The 20,889-nt window shown below is 42.9% G+C and overlaps 1 long non-coding RNA gene across 1 annotated transcript in view, besides 2 other annotated features; it reads right to left on the bottom strand.

The window, feature by feature from the left end:
* LINC01399 (long intergenic non-protein coding RNA 1399) overlaps window positions 1–20,889 on the bottom strand; it is a 111,233-nt gene that overhangs the window by 50,508 nt on the left and 39,836 nt on the right. The window contains exons 3-4 of the long non-coding RNA NR_126356.1: window positions 2,008–2,129; window positions 1,104–1,271 (exon numbers count right to left, since the gene is read on the bottom strand). This is a non-coding gene — a long non-coding RNA (long intergenic non-protein coding RNA 1399). The remainder of the gene's footprint in view (window positions 1–1,103; window positions 1,272–2,007; window positions 2,130–20,889) is intronic.
* Window positions 895–2,094: an enhancer, noted in NCBI's record as "MED14-independent group 3 enhancer chr22:35567219-35568418 (GRCh37/hg19 assembly coordinates)". NCBI's record gives its function as "activates an origin of replication core promoter dependent on BRD2, BRD4, P300/CBP and CDK7 cofactors, and independent of MED14, by STARR-seq in HCT116 cells {active_cell/tissue: HCT116}" and the evidence as "EXISTENCE:reporter gene assay evidence [ECO:0000049][PMID:35650434]".
* Window positions 7,287–7,788: an enhancer, noted in NCBI's record as "H3K4me1 hESC enhancer chr22:35573611-35574112 (GRCh37/hg19 assembly coordinates)". NCBI's record gives its function as "activates a minimal SCP1, AML or CMV promoter by ChIP-STARR-seq in primed H9 embryonic stem cells {active_cell/tissue: H9 hESC(primed)}" and the evidence as "EXISTENCE:reporter gene assay evidence [ECO:0000049][PMID:30033119]".

A 20,889-nucleotide genomic window follows, 5' to 3' on the forward strand; every position in this document is an offset into this window, starting at 1 on the left:
CCCTTTCTGAATAGAACACTGTAAAATTATATATATATACATATATATATATATATATGTATATATATATGTATATATTAGCCATTTATTCCACAAACACAGGGCACATTTGTGTCCAACATTATGGTAGATTTTAAAGATATGGAGATAACTAAGTCAGAGACCCTGACCCCAAAGACTTTGCCATGGGGATTGGGGGAAGTACACTAGTAATTACAGTAGGATACAAATGGCACAACAGAAACATGCTGAAGGCGAGACTAACTCCTCAATGAGTGATGGGAAAGTTATTTGAATGGGTCTTCAAAGATGCATAGAGGTTAGCCAGATAGACAAAGAGAAGGCAGGACATTTCAGGTAGAAGGAATTGCATGTGTGTGGTAGGTAGATTGCCCCCCAAGCCCACCAAAGACATTCATGTCTTAATCCCCAGAACCTGCGAATATGTCACTTTAAGGTAATGGACTTCTCAGATGTGATTAAGGTTAAGGCAATTAGCCTGGATTTCCCAGGCGGGCCCAATCTAATCACATGAGTCCTTAAACTCAGAGACTCCCCTGGCTGTGGTCAGCGGGAGATGAGACTACATAAGAATGCCAGAGAGCTGGGATATTGCTGGCCTTGTAGATGGAGGGAGGGCTGAGGCATATGGCAGCCCCCTGGAGCTGGGGATGATAAGGAAACTGATCCTTCCCTAGAGCCTCCAAGAAGAAAAGCAGCCCCACCAACACTTTGATTTTCAGCTCAGTGAGACATGCTTCAGACTTCTAACTTACAGAAAGGTAACACCATTTGTGTTTTTTCAAGCCACTAGCCTTGTGGTGATTTGTTACAGCAGCAACGTACACTAATGCACCTGCAAAGGCATGGAGACGCAGACTGAATCACATTCCTTGGCCCTCTTGGCCCTTATCTCTGGCTTTTTCTGCAGACCAGGTTCAGCAGCACCTCCTCCAGGAAGCCTTCCAAAACTTGCCCAGACTAAGCAAACTCTTCTCTCCCATGTGCCTCCGCACACCTCTCCTACTGAGTGACTCACGTATGGAACACAGAGGACAATGGGGTTCTGCATCACAGACTGGTCACATGCTCATGAAACTCACCTCTTCCTCAGCCCACAGCCCATTGGTGTCTCGGTGGGTCCCTGTGCCTCGTTCTCACTGATGGAATCTGAGCAGAAGTGAGGGGTCACTTCCAGGACAGGGCAGTCAAGGGCAAAAGGGGCTCCTGCAGGCTTTTCTTCCCTCTCCTCCTCAGATGCTCTGTGTGAGCTACAGATGGAAGGAATCAAAGCCCTGAGTCAGTACTGGGAAGAGACCTGCCTAATAGGAGCCTCCACAGAGGTCTGCACATAAACGAGAAATCGGCGTTTATTGTCTTAATTCCTTGGATCTGGGCAATTTTATAGCAAGAGAAAGCTAAGCAACTTGGGCCAGGCACGGTGGCTCACATCTGTAATCCTAGCACTTTGGGAGGCTGAGGCGGGTGGATCACTTGAGGTCAGGAGTTCGAGACCAGCCTGGGCAACATGGTGAAACCTCATCTCTACTAAAAATACAAAACACTAGCAGGGCATGGTGGTGGGCACCTGTAATTCCAGCTACTCGGAAGGCTGAGGCAGGAGAATTGCTTGAATCCGGGAGGCAGAGGTTGCAGTGAGCCAAGATCGTGCCACTGCACTCCAGCCTGGGCAACAAGAGTGAAATTCCATCTCAAAACAAAGACCCTCACCCAAGATGTCTGCTGTTCCTGAGCTGATGCTTTCTGACCTCTGATGCCTGTGGGCTCCCTGCTTCTTTGTAGGTGCCTTGCTCTGCCTACCACCAACCGGAATGTGAGATTTTGCCCCCTCTTCAGTTTACACACACTTACATAAAATGCTGCTCACAGAAACACATTGTGAAGATTGGCAGGGGATCAGAGGGGTTCCCACTGCAGCAAGGCAAACAACCACAGGGAAGCAGCAGGGCCCCCTCCCACGGGAAATCCCCTGGCCCTTGTCCTCACCTGGTTCCAGTTTTCTTCCATGTTTCTGGTTCCTTTCTCTCCACCCTCCATTCTGTTTCAACTCCTACTCAGCAGGAAAATCAGTATCTCATCCAGGTGGCTACTCGTCTGAAATCCTGCACCTGCAAGATATCAGAGCCACCTTAAGCAGACATTAAGCAGACCAGACTCCTGAACGTACTAAATGACACTTACCTGTGGGATGTGGTGCACACCTGGCATCTGTCTCAGAGACTGGCCAGGCAAAGCCATGTGCTTCTCAACTGACTGCTCATTCCAATCCCCTGGGGAGCTTTCAAACGGCAGATGTCCCTGAAATTCTCATTTAATTGGTGAGAGGCGGGGCCCATCTCATGAGATGACTAGGATGTGAAGTCCAGCACGAGAGCCCTGGCAGAACCTCCACTTTGGGATGTGGGGGCTCAACACTGTGATCTCAGTACTGAAGCTTGAGCCCTACCAAGGCACTTTCCCAAATGAAGACCCTCTCTCCCTTAGGGGAGCCCCCATGCTGGCTGCTAAGTTTCTTTGTTTATCTCTTTACATCTGATTCTGTGCCATTCTCCCTCCCTGGGCTGTGCGCTGTCTGCTCCTGGCTGGGGGCTGGGTCTTATCCTTCTGGATGAAGCAGGTGCTCAGCGAATGTTTGGAGAGGGATGGAGTGGGTGGGAGTGAGGTAGTGGGAGAGGGATGGAACTGCAGGAAGGAAGCCCAGCCCAGAGGATGGAACCAAGGCGTCACTGGCCTGCTTTCAGAGACATTTCCCATTGCAGAAAGGGTCTGGGTCATAACCCAGTTAGACTAGCATTCTGCACCGCAGCTGAGTTGGAAATTATGATCCCCTGGCTTTACTGCCAGCCTGCTTCTCCTAGAGCACCATTTCTCAAATTCAGCTCTACTGACATTTTAGGTCAAATAATTCTTCATCAGCCTGGGAGAGATGTCCTGTACATTGCAGGAGGTTTGCAGCATCTCTGGCCCTACCCACTAGATAACCCAGTTGAAACAACTAAAAATTACTTCAGACATTGCCAAATGCCCCATAGGCAGCAGAATCACCCCAACTGAGAACCACTGTCCTGGAGGTTTAGGTCTTCTCAACTACAGCCCCCACCCCAGCCACGTCGAGGCTCCCATGAGCCCCTCACAGCAGTTTTGAGAACAGAATGAGCTTTATAGGGTAATGTACTTAGCACAGCACTGGCTAAGTACCGTGAAAGACTTAATACATGTCAGTTACTAGTAGTACAAACTCTGAGAGACAGACTACTTGCATGCATGGGGAAGAAAACCGAGGTTCAGAGTCACAAAGTGACATGCCCAAGGTCACACAGCTGGCATCCAAATTTAGACCTGTTTGACTTCAAAACTTTTGTCCTATTCATCTGAGACACTGTCTCTCTTCATCAGGCAATGGAAAGAGCGCATCTGCTCCCACACCTGTGAGCTGAACCCATCATGCAATCCTCAGGAAAGTCTGCAGACAAGATGCCCCAGCCAAAGGCTGAAATCCATAAATCCAGCAAGACCCCAGCCCTGAGGTCAGAGTGGGAGTGACAAGGAAGGACTCCCATGACCAGGAGGAGAACCAGGTCTCTCGCCATCTCTGGACCTTTCTGTCTCTGCATTTCCACACATGGGGTGTGTACCTCCCCTTCAATGGTGAGCCCCAAAGGGCAAGGACTATGTCTGTTGGTTTCTCAGAGCCAGGTAGGAATGCAGTCTGAGAAAGAAGAAAGAAGCCTATCATTAAGACACAAAATCAGAGTAACTCTAGCAGCAAAAATGAAATGAAAATGCAGTTTTGTTATTATAAACTCAAGCTACATCAATCCCTCTAATCTGAGGGAAAGATTGGCCCAGAAGCCTGGGGCAGGCCTGAACCTTCAGGTCAAGGAGCTGCAGCTGTGTGATCCAGGAGCAGGTGGAGGCCAGGAAGCAGGGCAGGTCATGGCCCCCCAAAAGTCTTGTTACTGCCCAAGGCCAGGCTCCCAGGTCTCTGATGTCTTCAGAATTCAGGCAGAGTCAGTGGCTGTAGCCACCGCCTGGACACCCCCTGTAGTGCCCCCGAGTACTGTGGTGAAAGGTGACTTCTTTTTCCCTTCCTTTTAAGCCCAGGAGGCTAATAATAAAATACTCTCTGTTTCTGAGTCTACAGGAGAAAATGCCTTCTAAATCCATTAAGTTGCTAATGCGTGCATTTGCAGACCAGAAAGAAAGGTGCAGGATTGATGGATGTACTTGTCATATTTATGGTTTGTAGCCATGTGATTAATGGGCTCTGTGGTTTATAATGCAATGCTCATTTCACTCTCCTCTTTAAGCTCTGGGTGATTTATAGAACATTTATAGGGCATTGCTATTGCATTTCAATGGAATGACAGTGATAACATTTTATCACCCTGGATTATCAATTAGTCTCCTTTGAGAAAAGGATGTCCCGGACTTAGTATGGGAACAGGGTGAGGAGAGGGGATGCTTCTCAGGAACATTTGCATGGTCACCTGGAGTTCATGGCCTTTCTCCCTGAGAGCTGCCTCCTCGTTCCTCTCTAGGATGAATGGGCTGCACGTGTTCAAAGACAGCACAGGAGCTGGGAGCCTTCTACCCCCAAAGCCCTCCTCTCATCCCTCACCATGCTGTGCAGCAGCTACTCATGGGTCTCTACCCACCCTGAGCCAGATTCCACATGCAGCCTCCAGAGAAATCCCCTTCTCACATCACACCCTTTCCTGGCCCTCCATAACCCTCACTGCTTTCTCGATGTGTGACCTTGGCTACCCTAGATGGCCCCTCTGAATCTCAGTCTCCTCATCTGTAAAATGGAAAATGGGGAAAGTTTTTGGAAAAAGTAAAATGAAAAAAAAATTGCAGAGTGGTCGAGAGCATCAAATTGTTTAGCACAGTACCTGAGATGCACGCCTTATGCTGCAGCCACACACACACACACACACACACACACACACTGCTTGCTGTTCATCCATCCAGCTGCTGTTACCTCAGACCAGAATTCCTTCCACTTCTTCATCCAGTGAAATCATATTCCTCCTTCAAGGCTTAACCAGAATGCCCCCTCTTCTCTGAAACCTGCCTGATTCTCCAATATGACATTATTCCCCTGCCCTTTCTCTGCACTCATCCCATTGAATTTGCCCCTGTTTCTCTTTGCTCTACAAGCCTTGTTTCCTCTGTGGGTCTGTGATGTCCTTGAGGGTGAGACTGGGCCCAAGACACGTCTGTCACCCACACCTAGTGCAGGGCCTGGTACCTAGTAGGTGATTAATACAAGGACTCAGAAGGGGCAAGGGCAGGTTGAGCAGGAACCTAGGGCATAGGCAGGAGCCCAGGTATATTCTGGTAGCTCTTGAGAACCAGAACGCACACAGCACAGCCAATGAGGAAACCCAAACATGGGTCTACCTATCCACATGCAGCCACCTGTCCCCTCCACTTTATTTTCATCCTCTTTATCCTCATCCTCTGTTCTGACTCTGCCCTCAGTCATTCATCCAACAGCTATGAATAGATTCCCACAATGTGCCAGATGCTAGATATGCACAGTGAACCAAACAGAGACAGCCCCTGCCCTCGTGGGTTTACAATCTGGTGGGGACCGTAATAAACAAAGAAGCACACAAATGAGTAATTACAAATTTGACAAGAGCTAAGAAGGCCAAAGAGGGAAATGAGAACTGGAACAGCCCGGAAGACCTACTCCAGAGAGGGTATTAGGGAGACCTCTCCAAGTGTCTTAGTCTGTTTGCTGTTGCTTTAACAGAATACTTGAAACTGGGTGATTTACTTGAAAAGAGATTTATTTAGCTCAGGATTCTGGAGGCTGGGAAGTCCAAGGAGCATAGTGCTGGCATCTGCTCACCTTCTGCTGAGGGTCTCGTGCTGCATCACAACATTGCAGAGAAGTTGAAGGGAAAGCCAGCGTGTTAAAGGGCAAAGACAAGAGGCGGCCATTCTCAAAGGTAACTATTCCAGACCCTCGAGCACAAATGCAGTCTTAAGAGAACTGTATTAATTCATTCATGGGAGCAGAGCCCACATGACCCAAAGGCCTCTTAAAGTCCTCACCACCTCTCAATACTGTAACATCGGCAATTAAATTTGAACATGAGTTTTGGTCTGGACAAACCACAGCATCCAGGAACTAGCATTCTAGCTGAATGGTGAAAGGAAGCAAGGGTTATTCATAGTCAGGATACCAGCCAGTCTATGTGGCTTTGTATGAATCAGGAAAAAAAGGCTCCCCTCTCCGGGCAGACACAGCCCTGAGCAAGCACTCATCATGGGAAGAACACAGGCTGATTTCAGTCCCCACTTGCCCCCAGTGGTAGGAGTGCCCTTGTACAGTGCACAACCTACACAACTGAACACAGTGTATGAGTGTCCCATTTCTGGACTCACTCCATTTCTGGATTTGATGACCCCATTGGATTTCTGGATTTTAACCTTTTGTGTTTCTGAGGGTCTAAGTTCTCATTTGCCATTTGTCCCCTCCCATTCCTGGCTGCCCTGGATTACACCCCACCCCACAGATCCAGCTCTTAACTCTGGAAAGCAGATCTTGATTTGAACACCTGACTGGTGTTTCTAGGAACTAATATCAGCCAGCAAATAAGAGGATATAGATACCAAAGCAGAAAATTAATCATCAAGTTATAAGTTAGCACACAGAGAAAGCAAAGAGCACTGACTAGAAGCCCCCTAAGGGCAGGGATCACAGTAGATCCCCAGCAGCCACACAGTGCCTGGCACAGACAGGGCACACCATTGCATGAGTAGAAATAGACATCTGTAAAATAGACAGCTGTGTAAACACATCCATAGTTCAAATTTGTACAGGCAGAGGATATAAACTGGAAAGGAGTCAATGTGAAGAAGTCCAGGGACAGGGCAGCCTTTGGAAACTGGAGAAGAGGAAGAGCCAGAGAAGGAGAGTGGGTGGAAATGATCAATGGGAAGAAAACCAGGAAAATATGGTTTCCTGAAGTCAAAAGAAGGGAGTGCTTCTAGAATGACAGATAGCCACCAAGAGGTCAGTTAAGACAATAACACAAATATCCACTAGATGTGACCATCTGGGAGTAATGTTTGTGGGAGAGTAGAAAAATGCCTGATTAGGGTGTATTCAAGAGCAAATGGGAGACAAGAAATTGGTGACAGTGAGCATAGTAAACTCTTTCAAAGAGTTTAGCTGTAAAAGGGAGTAAAGAAAAGTGGGAGCAACGGGAAGGGATGTGGGGTCAAGGAAGGGTTTGGTTGAAGTTGGAAGACATTACAGCCTGTTTGCATTGTGTGCTCATGGGAAGGATCCAGAGCTTAGAAGAAAACCTGATGAAGCAGGAGAGAAGAGAGTGGCGACAGCGATGTCCTTAAGAAGGAAGAGGTATCTAGTGCACAGGTGGAGAAGGTGGCCTTGGATAGGAGCAGGGATAGCCCATCCATTCTGTTACCAGGAAGGAAACAGAATAAATGGACAGAGACGCAAGCTTCACACACGTGAGATGCTCAGTATATGTGAAAATTACACTATCCCACCCACCTGATCCCAGGTGGCTCAGCTGCTTCCCACCTGTCTCCTTGGCCCAGACCCACAGACCTGTGGCTGCCTGGCCTGATTCCTCTGTGCCTACCAGGCCTGCTTTTCTGCACTGCCCCCTCCTGGCTTTTCAAGAGCTGGCCTCCATTTTTAGCATGCCAGCAAGCAGCCTCCTGGACAGGCACTGACAGGCAGGAGAACATGGCCAGGCCCTTGGCAGTCATCATGGAGCTCCAAGAAGCTGGCAGCCTGGGCACTGGGCTGCCTGCACAGCCACACAGAGTCAGGGACCTTTTGCCAAATGTTGGTGAAATGTCTCAATGGCAAATTTAATTGTGCCCAAGTCTCCATTCTCGGCTTCCTCTCCTCTCTGCAACAAGCCCCTCTACTGCCGTGTCCCCAGAAATTAGAGGAGTGAGGCTGGGCAGGCATGTCTGCCAATGCCAGGAGCAGCTTTGATTGAAAAGGGAAATTGCAGGGCACTGAACATCGCAGGAATACTAGGAAGATGAGGCCAACATCTTCTGTGGAGTCTCAGGGTTGGGGCATCCACACGGGCACATCGAAGTGTACCACGCTGCACAATGGTAGAATGGCTGGCAGAGTGGTTCGGCACTTTCGGGGAAGCTCCAGGTGATTCCAGATGACAGGAGGTGACTCCCTGTCTTCCTCATAGGGAGCTGCCATAAACAACACACAGCTGGCAGGAGAGCCCAGATGGAGCGAGAGTTACAGGCCAAGCACCACATCTCCCCACCCACCCAGGGCACTGCTGACTCTGGGGCCAGCTCCGGGAGGACCATTCCCCAGCCCGGCGCAAGGCTCTGCTGAGGTCAACCTTACAGCAGTGAGCAAGAGCCGTGGTTAATTTGTCTGTAGATATTTCAAAATAGGGAATGATGGTGCTGAAGTCCCTGTTTTTAGTGAGTCTGGAAGAGCGTGGTTCCTGACTTATTTCTCATCGAAGTTCAAATGTATCTGTTTGTCTCCCTTTCTCTTTCTCTCCTCTTCTGCTCTCTCCCTAGGTGTCTTTCATTCTCATTCCCTCTTTAAACTTACCTCTCTTGTGCCTCATCAACCTTCCTCCTTTTACTATTTCTTTCTTCACTATCATGGTTGTGCTCCTAAAATAATCAAGATAGGACAGTATATTCCTTAATATTTACTAATGAGCCTCTATTCCATGGCATGACCGTAAGGATCAATCATTGAACTAAAATCATTAGATAATACTACATATAGAAAATAATACTATAGGCCGGGCGCGGTGGCTTACACCTGTAATCCCAGCGCTTTGGGAGGCCAAGGCGGGCAGATCACGAGGTCAGGAGATCGAGACCATCCTGGCTAACACGGTGAAACCCCATCTCTACTAAAAATACAAAAAATTAGCCGGGCATGGTGGCGGGCACCTGTAGTCCCAGCTATATGGGAGGCTGAGGCAGGAGAATGGCATGAACCCGGGAGGCGGAGCTTGCAGTGAGCTGAGATGGCGCCACTGCACTCCAGCTTGGGTGACAGAGCAAGACTCCATCTCAAAAAAAAAAAAAAAAGAAAATAATACTATATACATTTATATACACAGTCACACATTGCTTAATGACTGGGATATGTTCAAGAAATGCATCGTTAGGCGATTTCCTTGTGCAAACATCATAGACTGCACTTACACAAACCTAGATGTTATAGCCTACTACACACCTAGGCTATATGGCATGGCCTATTGCTCCTAGGCTACAAACCTGGACAGCATGTTACTGTACTTGACTAGTCCATTCTCGCATTGCTATGAAGAAATAACTGAGACTACATAATTTATAAAGAAAAGAGGTTGAATTGGCTCATGGTTCCACAGGCCATATAGGAAGCATGGCAGCATCTGCTTCTGGGGAGGCCTCAGCGAACATACAGTCATGGAGGAAGGCAAAGCAGGAACAGACACATCTCACATGGTGGGAGCAGGAGAAAGGGTTGGGGGAGGTGACACCCACTTTTAAACAACCAGATCTCATGAGAACTCTATTATGAGAACAGCACCAAGAGATGATGCTAAACCATTCATAAGGGATCCACCCCCACGATCCAATCGCCTCCCACCAGGCCCCACCTCCAACACTAGGGATTACAATTGAACATGAGATTTGGGTGGGGACATAGATTCAAACTGTATTATGTACTGAATACTGGAGGCAACTATAACATAATGGTGTTTGTGTATCTAAATATATCTAAACATAGAAAAAGTATAGTAAAAATACAATATTACAATCTTATGGGACCACTGTCATATATGCAGTCTGTCATCAACCAAAATGTCATTATGGGGTTCATGACTGCATATAAAATCTGCATCATAACCCCACAAGGCAAAATAACAATATTTATCATTATAATAATAACCTAACCTACATATTTACTGTGTTTCAGACACTTTTCAAAGCACTTTCACGAGTATTAATATGTTTAATCCTCTCAATAACTCTAAATCCAGGTACTATTACTACCCCTATTTCACAAAAGCAAAATATCGAGGCACAAGTAATTTGCCCAAAGTCACACCATTATGTATTTTGCAGAGTCAGAATTCAAATTCAAGTAGTCTAGATTCAAAGTCTGTGCCATTGAAACTCAAATTGAGTGACCTGTGTAAAGTCACACAGCCAAAAATGTGTAGGAACAGGATGCAAGCTCATGAATGTCTGATCCCAAATCCCAATTCTTCTCTCCCATCAGAACATATCGTCCCCACCTCTAACTTGGAATGCAAAAGAGATGGACATTTTACACATTATTCTCTAATTCCTTGTCAAACTTTCAATGTTTCTTTTATAACTGATGCTTGATGAATTATTTTCTCCCTGTGGATCCCAGATTGCCACTACAATTAAAAATTCCCGACTCTGTAGCCTACTTGAATTACCTCTCTTCAAAGGACCCATACAATGAAGTACACTTCCAACTAAAATCACCATGAACTGGCACTAATCTTTTTTTTCCCCTCTGAAGATTTATAAGTCCCAGTGGTTCACATGAATTAGATCACTTAACCAACATGTTTTGAGTATTCACTATGTGTCAGAAGATGAAGTGTTTCCTAGCCCTCAAAAAGCTCATGGTCTGGTAGGACAGAGAAGGCAAGTCCATTAATTCAAAGTCAAGGTAAGAAAGTGATATGAGCCCAAAAGTGGAACAGATATTACAATGAGAGCTTGAAGAGCTAAAAGGGTCTTGGAACACTTTCTAGGGGAGGAGGCAAGATAGCTGGGGAATCTATAAGAATACACGGACTGGATTTGGAAGGTAACAGTCTTGCAGGGTCTCAACACCACCACTGGAAGCCCTGCAGATACAAGGACACAGAAGGTTGTAAACATTGGACATACTTTACATCATGCTCTGAGAGTTGGATTTTTATTATTGTTAGCCCCTCTATCACCATCTTACCCACATCACTTTATATAAGCTAATTTGTCTCTTTTTTTCAGAAAAGAGAAGCAAAAAGAAAAAAATCTACATTTTGTTGTTGTTCTTCTTTGTGTGTTTGGGTTTTTTTTTTTTTTTTTAAGCTTCCTGGTTGTCTCAATATCAGAAAAACAAAACTAGTCTTCTTCAAACACCATTTTTATCAAGCCTCTTCTAGGCTTAAAACTCTCAGCACCTCCTCACCCCACTTGCCTGCAGGATCTTGTCCAAACACATCAGCTTGGCATTGAGGTCTTCCATGATCCATGTTCCATGGATCCAGTTCCAAATGACTGCTCTGGCCTTATCTCCTGCTATTTCTGCACATGCATTTCCTCTAGGTATACTGTGGAAGTAACCTACTCGCTGAAAAAGAATACAGAATGTGCTGAAGTTTGATTAAGAAGGAGAGTTTAAAAGTGTTGCTGGATCTAGAACCAGAAATACCATTTGACCCAGCAATCCAATTACTGGGTATATACCCAAAGGATTATATATCATTCTACGATAAAGACACATGCACACGTATGTTTATTGCGGCACTATTCACAATAGCAAAGACTTGGAACCAACCCAAATCCCCATCAATGATAGAGTGGATAAAGAAAATGTGGCACATATATACCACGGAATACTATGCAGCCATAAAAAAGGATGAGTTCATGTCTTTTGCAGAGACATGGATGAAGCTGGAAACCATCATTCTCAGCAAACTAGCACAGGAACAGAAAACCAAACTCCGCATGTTCTCACTCATAAATGGGAGTTGAACAATGAGAACACATGGACACAGGGAGGGGAACATCACATACCAGGGCCTATCAGAGGGTAGGGTGCTAGGGGAGGGATAGCATTAGGAAAAATACCTAATGTAGATGACAGGTTGATGGGTGCAGCAAACCACCATGGCACGTGTATACCTAGGTAACAAAACAGCACGCTCTGCACATGTATCCCAAAACTTAAAGTATAATAAAAAAAAATGTTTAATGATAATAACAATAATAATAGTCATCATTACAGATGAAATAACAACCCAAAAACTCAGGGATATAATAAACAAAACTTTCATTTTGCCATCACTGAATTTATTTACTTACTTACTTACTTATTTATTTATTTATTTATTTATTTATTGAGATAGAGTCTCACTCTGTTGCCCAGGCTGAAGTGCAGTGGCACAATCTTGGCTCACTGCAACCTCCACCTGCCAGGTTCAAGCGATTCTCCTGCCTCAGCCTCCCAAGTAGCTGGGATTATAGGCGTGTGCCACCACACCCAGCTAATTTTTGTATTTTTAATAGAGACAGGGTTTCACCATATTGGCCAGGCTGATCTCGAACTCCTGACCTCGTGATCGGCCCGCCTCAGCCTCCCAAAGTGCTGGGATTACAGGTGTGAGCCAGTGCGCCCAGCCTTATTTTATTTTTTTGAGACAGAGTCTTGCTCTGTCACCTAGGCTTGAGTGCAGTGGCGCAATCTCAGCTCACTGCAACCTCTGCCTTCCAGGCTCAGACGATTCTCCCACCTCAGCCTCCCAAGTAGCTGGGATTACAGGCACAGGCAACCATGCCTAGCTAATTGTTTTTGTATTTTTAGTAGAGACAGTGTTTCATAATGTTGGCCAGGCTGGTCTTGAACTCCTGACCTCAGGTGATCTGCCTTGCTTGGCCTCCTAAAGTGCCAGGATTACAGGCACGAGCCACCACACCCAGCCCACCATCACTGAATTTAACTACTTTCTTAAACTTCATTTTGCTTGGGGGCAAAAACTGAACTTCACTCAGTTTCTGATCTACTTCCCTACTAAGGATTATCTAAATTCTCAAAAATTTAGTAATGTCAAAGTACAGAGTATAGAGAGCAGAATCTGATCCTCAGTCATTACCTTCTGGCCACTTGACATCTTCAAAGAGTCTGTACTACTGTGTGTCTTTGTCCCAACAGCAAAGCCTCCAAGCTTTGTCACAGCTAACTTCCACTCAGGTCCTTCATCAAGCTCTCTGAGGATGACTAAGGCTTTTCTTGACATCAGTGCTACAACTGGGTTCCAAAAAAAAAAGTCATTCCTCCGCTTTCCAGGAATTTTATGAGGCTCATGCAGTAATCTCTGTCTAGACACCTGAAATCAGTTCTATTCAATTCCTCAGACCAAAATAGGGCAGAGGAGAATTATGGATCTTGCCACGTTCTAAAGCCTTATGCAGGAAAAAGGGCACATGTTTCCTCTACTATGAGGCACCGCTAATTGGGAAATTCTGTTGTCACCACTATTTCCCTTTTATTCTTCCCTAGAAAGAAAGTACAGGTAGAGGTCTTTCTAGGGACTAGACATCTAAACCCCAATCTTCACTGACTAGTCTCTCTTTCTTAATTCCAGAAGATTTGTATCTCTGCCATAGTTGGAAAAGTTTTAAATCATAATGCATTTTTTTCAATATATTGAGAAGAGTGGAAAATTTATGTGATGATTGGTGAGTTAATCAAAGTTTAAATTTTTTAAATTTCGTTTTAAACTTCATCTCCATATGAAATTCAAAAGTTTATTATAGGCCACAGATCCAAGAAAAACAGTGAATTCTAATCAGAATAAATACAAACAAATCTTCAGTGGAGCACATTATGGTCAAACTGCTGAAAGGATAAAGACGATATCTTTAAAATTTGATAGAGTATAAAAATATCAGTATCTTAAAGAGAGAAAAATGTCACATCATATATAGACAATTCGTAAGAATGACAGCTAATGTCACAGTGGAAACCAAGGTAGCCAGAAAACAGTGGAACTGCATTTTTATAGTGCTGGAAGGAAAAAAAAACTGTCAACCAAGTCAATCAAGATGTCTGTATCTAATGAAAATACCCTTCAAAAACAAAAGTGAAATGAAAACATTTTTAGACAAGCAAAAAACTAAGAGTATTTGTCTCCAGCAGACTTGCACTATAAGTAATGCTGAAACAAGTTCTTCAAGCTGAAAGGCAAATGAAATCAGATGTGGAAAGGAATAGAGACATAAGAATAATAAACATCAAGGTAAATATTTATGTGTTATTTTAATTATATTTGTTTTACATATTATATATTTTAAATTATTTTAAAAGACTGTTTAAGGCACAATAACTATTTATTGTGGGATTTAGAATATACAGAGAGGAAAAATATATAACAAGAGCACAAAAGGCAAGAAAGGGATAAAAATAATTGTATTGTTTTAAGGTTCTTACATTGTTTTTCAAACAGTATAATATCCTTTGAAGGTACAGTGATGAGTTAAAGATACATATTATAATCTCTAGAACAATCCCCCCAACAAAAAACTATTATATCTAAAAAGTTAATATGGGAAATTAAATTGAATAACAAAAATTACTCATTTCATCCAATAAAACTCAAAAAGGAAGAAGCAGAGAAATAAAGAATAGATAACTCACCAGGCAGATCCTCCAGGCCTCAGCCTCCAGCCACCTCCTCCCCAGCCCCCCGCAGAGCTATCAAACCAGTAGCAACTCAACAACTTCCTGGACAGAGCCTCCAGGGGCAAGTGAAAGCCTCTCCACCACTGCCTCTGCAGTGGAACTGCCCTTGCTACCCTTGGACTAATGAAGGAGCAAACACCCTAAGTGCTTTATCCACACCTCCAACCAGCTGCAATCGACCCAAGGAGAGGAGGCCAGTCCACTTCCCATGAGTACCGCACATCCCCAACTGCTCATCACCACACAGGGAACCCCTGGCTTGGGTCCACAGCACAGACCCTCCATCCAGGGTTGACTGCACTGATGATTACTGAACAGCATCTCTCTGAGGAGGAGCCCCCAGGAGACAAGCAAATGACCTTTGGCCACAAGTACTACTAAGATCCCTTCCTCTGCTGCCTCCAAGTTGGGGAAGAAACATAAACACTGAGATCACCCCAGAGCTGCAGCAGGCAGCCCAGGAGTGCCAAGTCACAACCTACAGCCAGCACTCAAGGGAGAGAGAAACCCACACCTTCAGAGCATTGAGAGGGAAAATGACTGCAACTGCAAGGAAACACAGGGGAGCTACATAATTGAGTGAGAGTTTACCAACTGACCAATAAGCTTAAGTGTCACCTGCTGAACCACACCCCAAAGCTTCCACACCAAAAATACCTCACTAACAGACACCCCTGAAACCAGAGGCAAGAAGACGGCTTCAAATAAAGATCCTGCACAAAACCTCAGCCCAGTGAAAACATCCAGAAAAGAAGTCTATTGACTGTACTCAATCTACACTGCAGTTAAAGGAACACCCACACGCAGAGGTGAAAATGAACCAATGCAAGAACTCCAGTAATTCAAATGACCAGAGTGTTGTATGTCCTCCGAATGGCTGCACCAGTTCTCCAACAAGAGTTCTTAACCAGACCGAACTGACTAGAATTACAGAAGAATTCAGAATATGGATAGGAACAAAGATCATCAAGATTCAGGATGGCAAAACTCAATCCAAGATAAGAATCACAATAAAGTGAAACAGGAGCTGAAGGACGAAATAATCAATATAAAAAAGAACCTAACAGGTCTGACAGAGCTCAATAACATAATACAAGAATTTCACAATGCAATCACAAGTATTAACAGCAGAATAAACCAAGCTGAGGAAAGAATCTCAGAACTTGAAGGCTGGTTCTCTGAAATAAGACAGTCAGACAAAAATAAAGTATACGGAATAAAAAGAAATGAACAAAATCTCTGAGAAGTATGGGATTATGTAAAGAGGCCAAATCCATGAATCGTAAGCAATGCTGAAAGGGTGGAGGAGAAAGCAAACAACTTGGAAAACATATTTCAGGATATCTTCCATGAAAACTTTCCCAACCTTGCTAGAGGGGCTAACAGTCAAATTCAGGAAATATAGAGAGCTACTGCAAGATTCTACACAAGAAAATCATCCCCAAGACACATAATTGTCAGATTTGTCAAGGCCAGAATGAAAGAAAGAATGTTAAAGGCAGCTAGAGAGAAAGGGGGCAGGTCACCTGCAAAGGGAATGCCATCAGGCTAACAGCAAGACCTCTCAGCTGAAACCTTATAAGCCAGAAGAGATTGAGGGCCTATATTCAACATTCTTAAAGAAAAAAAATCTTCAACCAAGAATTTCATATTTAGCCAAACTAAGCTTCCTAAGTGAAGGACAGATAAGATCCTTTTCAGATAAGCAAATGTTGAGAGAATTCATTAACACAAGACCTGCCTTACAGGAGATCTTGAAAGGAGCATGAAATACAGAGGAAAGACTGCTACCAACTAACACAACACTCTTAAACACACAGACTAGTGTCACTTTAAAGCAACCACACAAACAAGCCAACATAATAACCAGCTAACAGCACAATGACAGGATCAAATCCACAAATATCAATATTAAACTTGAATATAAACAAGCTAAATGCCCCACTTAAAAGGCACAGAGTGTCAAGCTGTATAAAACAGCAAGACCCAATGGTATGCTGTCTTCAAAAGACCCATCTCGCATGTAATGACACTCATGAGCTCAAAATAAAGGGATGGAGGAAAATCTACCAAACAAATGAAAACAGAAAAAAGCAGGGGTTACAATCCTAATTTCAGGCAAAACAGATTTTAACCAACAAAGATCAAAAAAGACCAAGGAGGGCATTACAGAATGCCAAAGGGTTCAATTCAACAAGGAGATCCAACTATTCTAAATATATATGCATCCAACACAGGACCACCCAGATTCATAAAGCAAGTTCTTAGAGACCTATGAAGAGACATAGATTCTCACACAATAGTAGTGGGAGACTTCAGCACTCCACTGACAGTATTAGACAGATCATCAATCAAGGCAGAAAATTAACAAAGATATTAAGGACCTAACAACAATGTATACATTCTTCTCATCACTACATGCCACATACTCTAAAATTTACCAAATAATTAGACATAAAACAATCTTCACCAACCATAAAAGAACAAAAATCATACCAAACAAACTCTCGGAGCACAGCACAATAAAAATAGAAGTCAAAACTATGAAAATCGCTCAAAACCATGTGATTACATGGAAATTAAACAGCATACTCCTGAATGACTTTTGGGTAAATATTGAAATTAAGGCAAAATCAAAAAGCTCTTTGAAAATAATGAGAACAAAGATACAACATATTAGAATCTCTGGGACACAGCTAAGGCAATATTAAGAGGGAAATTCACAGCACTAAATGCCCACATCAAAAAGTTAGAAAGATCTCAAAATTACAACCTAAATTCACAACCGAAAGAATTAGAGAAGCAAGAATAAATCAACCCCAAAGCTTGCAGAAGACAAGAAATAACAATTCAGAAATGAACAAATGCGGAGAATCATGAAGAAACTATATTTAAAGAAATAAAAACAAAATGATTAAGATTATACCAGCACTGATAAAAGACATAAAACCAAAGATTCAAAGAAACAAAGAAAGCCTTAACCAGGATAAATTTAAAGAAATCAATATCTTCATACATCAGAGGCAAACTTCAAAATGCCAAAGACCCTAGAATGTAGGTTCCATGATGGGAGGGGGTACCTAGCGCATGATAACCATCAACAAATACTTGTGCAATTAGTGAATTAAGTAGGAAATCTTAATTCAGAGAAAAGGGATATATGATATTACCTACAAAGGAGCAATTAAACTGACAACTGACTTTGTAGCAACTATGAAAGCCACAAGAAAATAGATTAATATTTTCAAAGTGTTGAAAGTAACTACCAGATTAGAATTCTGTATCAAGAAAAAAACTATATTTCAATCAACAAATGTGAAATAAAGGCATTTGTAGAGAGAAAAAAGACAGAGAATAGTCTATTAACAAACAAGGACATGTTTCACAAGGAAGGAAAATGATCTCAGAAGGTTTCAGATACAAAAAGGAATAGAAACAAATAAATGGTAAATATATGGGGAAATCTAAACAAACATTGATTTTATAAGACACAATGACATGCAATATGTGAAGTTAAGAAATCAAGAAAGAATTAAAATACAAAACAATAACAAACAAGTCAGGAGGCAGGTAATCATAAAGTATTCTAAGGCTCTTGCTTTGTTCAGGAGAAAAATAAAATTGTTAATTAACTTTAGAATGTTGATATACATAATATATAAACTTACATACATTATATATTATATACTTATATGTGTACAATTATATGACAGTATATACTATTACATATATTTATACAATTATGTGTTGTAATATAACAATGCACATATATTTCTAGAGAAACCAGAAAAATAGAAAATAAGTTTAGTATAAATTCTAAACAAGTGGAGAAAAAAGTGAAATAAGGAGAAAAATATCTTAAGGCAAAAGAAAATAGAAACTAAAAGAAAAAGCCTAGAAAATGTGGGTCACAGAAAAGTTAAAATCAGCAGAAATGAATCTAAATAAATTAAAAACCAGGCTGGGCATGGTGATTCACACCTATAATCCTAGCATTCTGGGAGGCCAAGGCGGGCAGATCACCTGAGGTGGGGAGTTTGAGACCAGTCTGGCCAACATGGAGAAATCTGTCTCTACTAAAAATACAAAATTAGCTAGGCGTGGTGGCACAAGCCTGTAATCCCAGCTACTTGGGAGGCTGAGGCACAAGAATCACTTGAAACCAGGAGGCGGAGGTTGCAGTGAGCCAAGACTGTGCCACTGCACTCCAGCCTGGGTGACAGAGAGAGACTTCATCTCAAAAAAAAAAAAAAATTAAAAATCAAAATCAATGTAAATGGGCTAAACTCTCCAATTAAAAGACAGAGACTATAACACTGTATTAAGAACTCAATCATGACTGGATATGGTGGCTCACACCTGTAATCACAGCACTTTGGGAGGCCAAAGCAGATGGATCACCTGAGGTCAGAAGTTTAAGACCAGCCTGGCCAACTGCCAACAATGGCAAAATCCTGTCTTACTAAAAATATAAAAATTAGCTAGGCATAGTGGTGCACACCTGTAGTCCCAGCTACTTGGGAGGCTGAGGCATGAGAATCACTTGAACCCAGGAGGTGGAGGTTGTGGTGAGCCAAAATTGCACCACTGCACTGCACTCCACTCCAGCCTAGGCAACAGAGTGAGAACCTGTCTCAAAAAAAAAACAAAAAACAAAAAACAAAAAAACAAAAACAAACCTCAATTATATGCTATTTATGAGGTTAAAAAAAGGTTGAAAATAAAACAATGAAAAAACTAGACAAATCCCAACAAAGAGACAGCTGTCAGACTGAGAAATATTAAGGCAAAAAAAATGCTATCAGGAAGATACAACAATTCTAAACTTGTATGCAACTAATAACATGCATTCAAATACATAAAGCAAAATTTAACTATTAACCTAATATTCCCCAAAACACATCAGTTAATATGCCAAACATGAAAGAATACAGTACCACTTATTGAGCACTTATTGTGGGTGCTCATTTCCAAAAATAATTTTGCTTAATCCTTATATCAAGCAGGTACCATAATTATTTCCATTTTACACATAAAGAAATCAAGGATTAGAGAACTTAAAGAATGTTCTCAATATCACATAGCTAGTAATGGTAGAACTGGTATTCTAACTTTAATCTATCTAGCCTTATAACTCAGAACCTTAAAGTGGGTAGAACACAGAAATACAAGGTTAGCACAATACTGCTAAATAAAACTTGCAGATAGCATTGGGGAATTTGTTATAAATAGGTGATTTTCAGCCAACAGAATGAAATTCTGGAAAAATGTCTTCTCCATATACAGGAGACTGTCCAGAACAAAGAAGAGATGAGGCAGGAACACGGTCCAAGGCAGAAGAATTGGTGCCATAATAGGGTACAGAGTAGGTTCACAGGGACTCATAAGAACCAGAACTGGACATCTCAGTGGAGCTAAATCAGCAGCCAGAGTATGCTGGTGTCAAGCTCAAGGTTATGGGGTTATAGCTGGACCAAAGTCCTGTTTCTCCAGTGTAAGATGGGCCTGCTGAGTGGAAGATAAGACTGAGCCTAAGATGGGATCAAATGGTTCCAACTGTGAGAAAGAAATATTAAACAGGGGCTTGTACTGAGACTGATCTCAACAATGCATAGAATAGTACTCTATAAATGTTTGCAGAAGTGAGTTAAATGCAAGAGAAACCCTGTGATTCTATCAATGTCAAAATCTTTACAAATTTTTTCGCCAGGATGTGTGTGCCTCTTGTGTCCCCCTTGCTAAAGGTACAACTTGGGTCATAAAGTAAATAGCTTCCATCATAGAAAAGTCTCCCTGAAATGATGCCATGATGGTGTTACATGGTTGGGCTCATTAATGAAAAGTAGCAATTTCACACAGAGCCAGCATGGGTGATTTCCAGTCGTGGAACAACTTGGCCTTAGCAGAGTCATCAAAACTCTCCGGGGTCATTGAACTCAAGAATCCATTGAGACACGGTTTAGCTCAGAAAGCCACTTAACACGCTTGGAAGATCGTGGGTCTAAGTCCCTGCATAAAAATAATACTTACAAGGGGTGTCTGAAATTATGCTCTAAAACCAATTCACCACATAATAAATAGGTCTCATAAACAAACATATGACCTGGCCCCTACAACTTCTCTGATCCCATCTTCTACCACCCTTTCCTGTTCTCATTCCCTCCAACTCATTGCACTACTTTCAGTTCATTGACCCTGCCAAAAACTCATGCGCCTCGGGTTCTTTTCATGTGCTATTTCCTCTCCTTGGGATGTCCTTCCAGACGGCCTCATGGCTCACTCCATTCCTTCAAGCCTTTGTCCAGTGTCTCCTCATCAGCAAGGCCTTCCCTGACAGCCCTGAATAAAATAGCAACCCCATCCATGCCATCTGCATCCTGACCTTTTCCATT

This window comes from Homo sapiens, chromosome 22 (assembly GCF_000001405.40).
Source record: "Homo sapiens chromosome 22, GRCh38.p14 Primary Assembly".
In the NCBI taxonomy this organism is placed as follows: domain Eukaryota; kingdom Metazoa; phylum Chordata; class Mammalia; order Primates; family Hominidae; genus Homo; species Homo sapiens.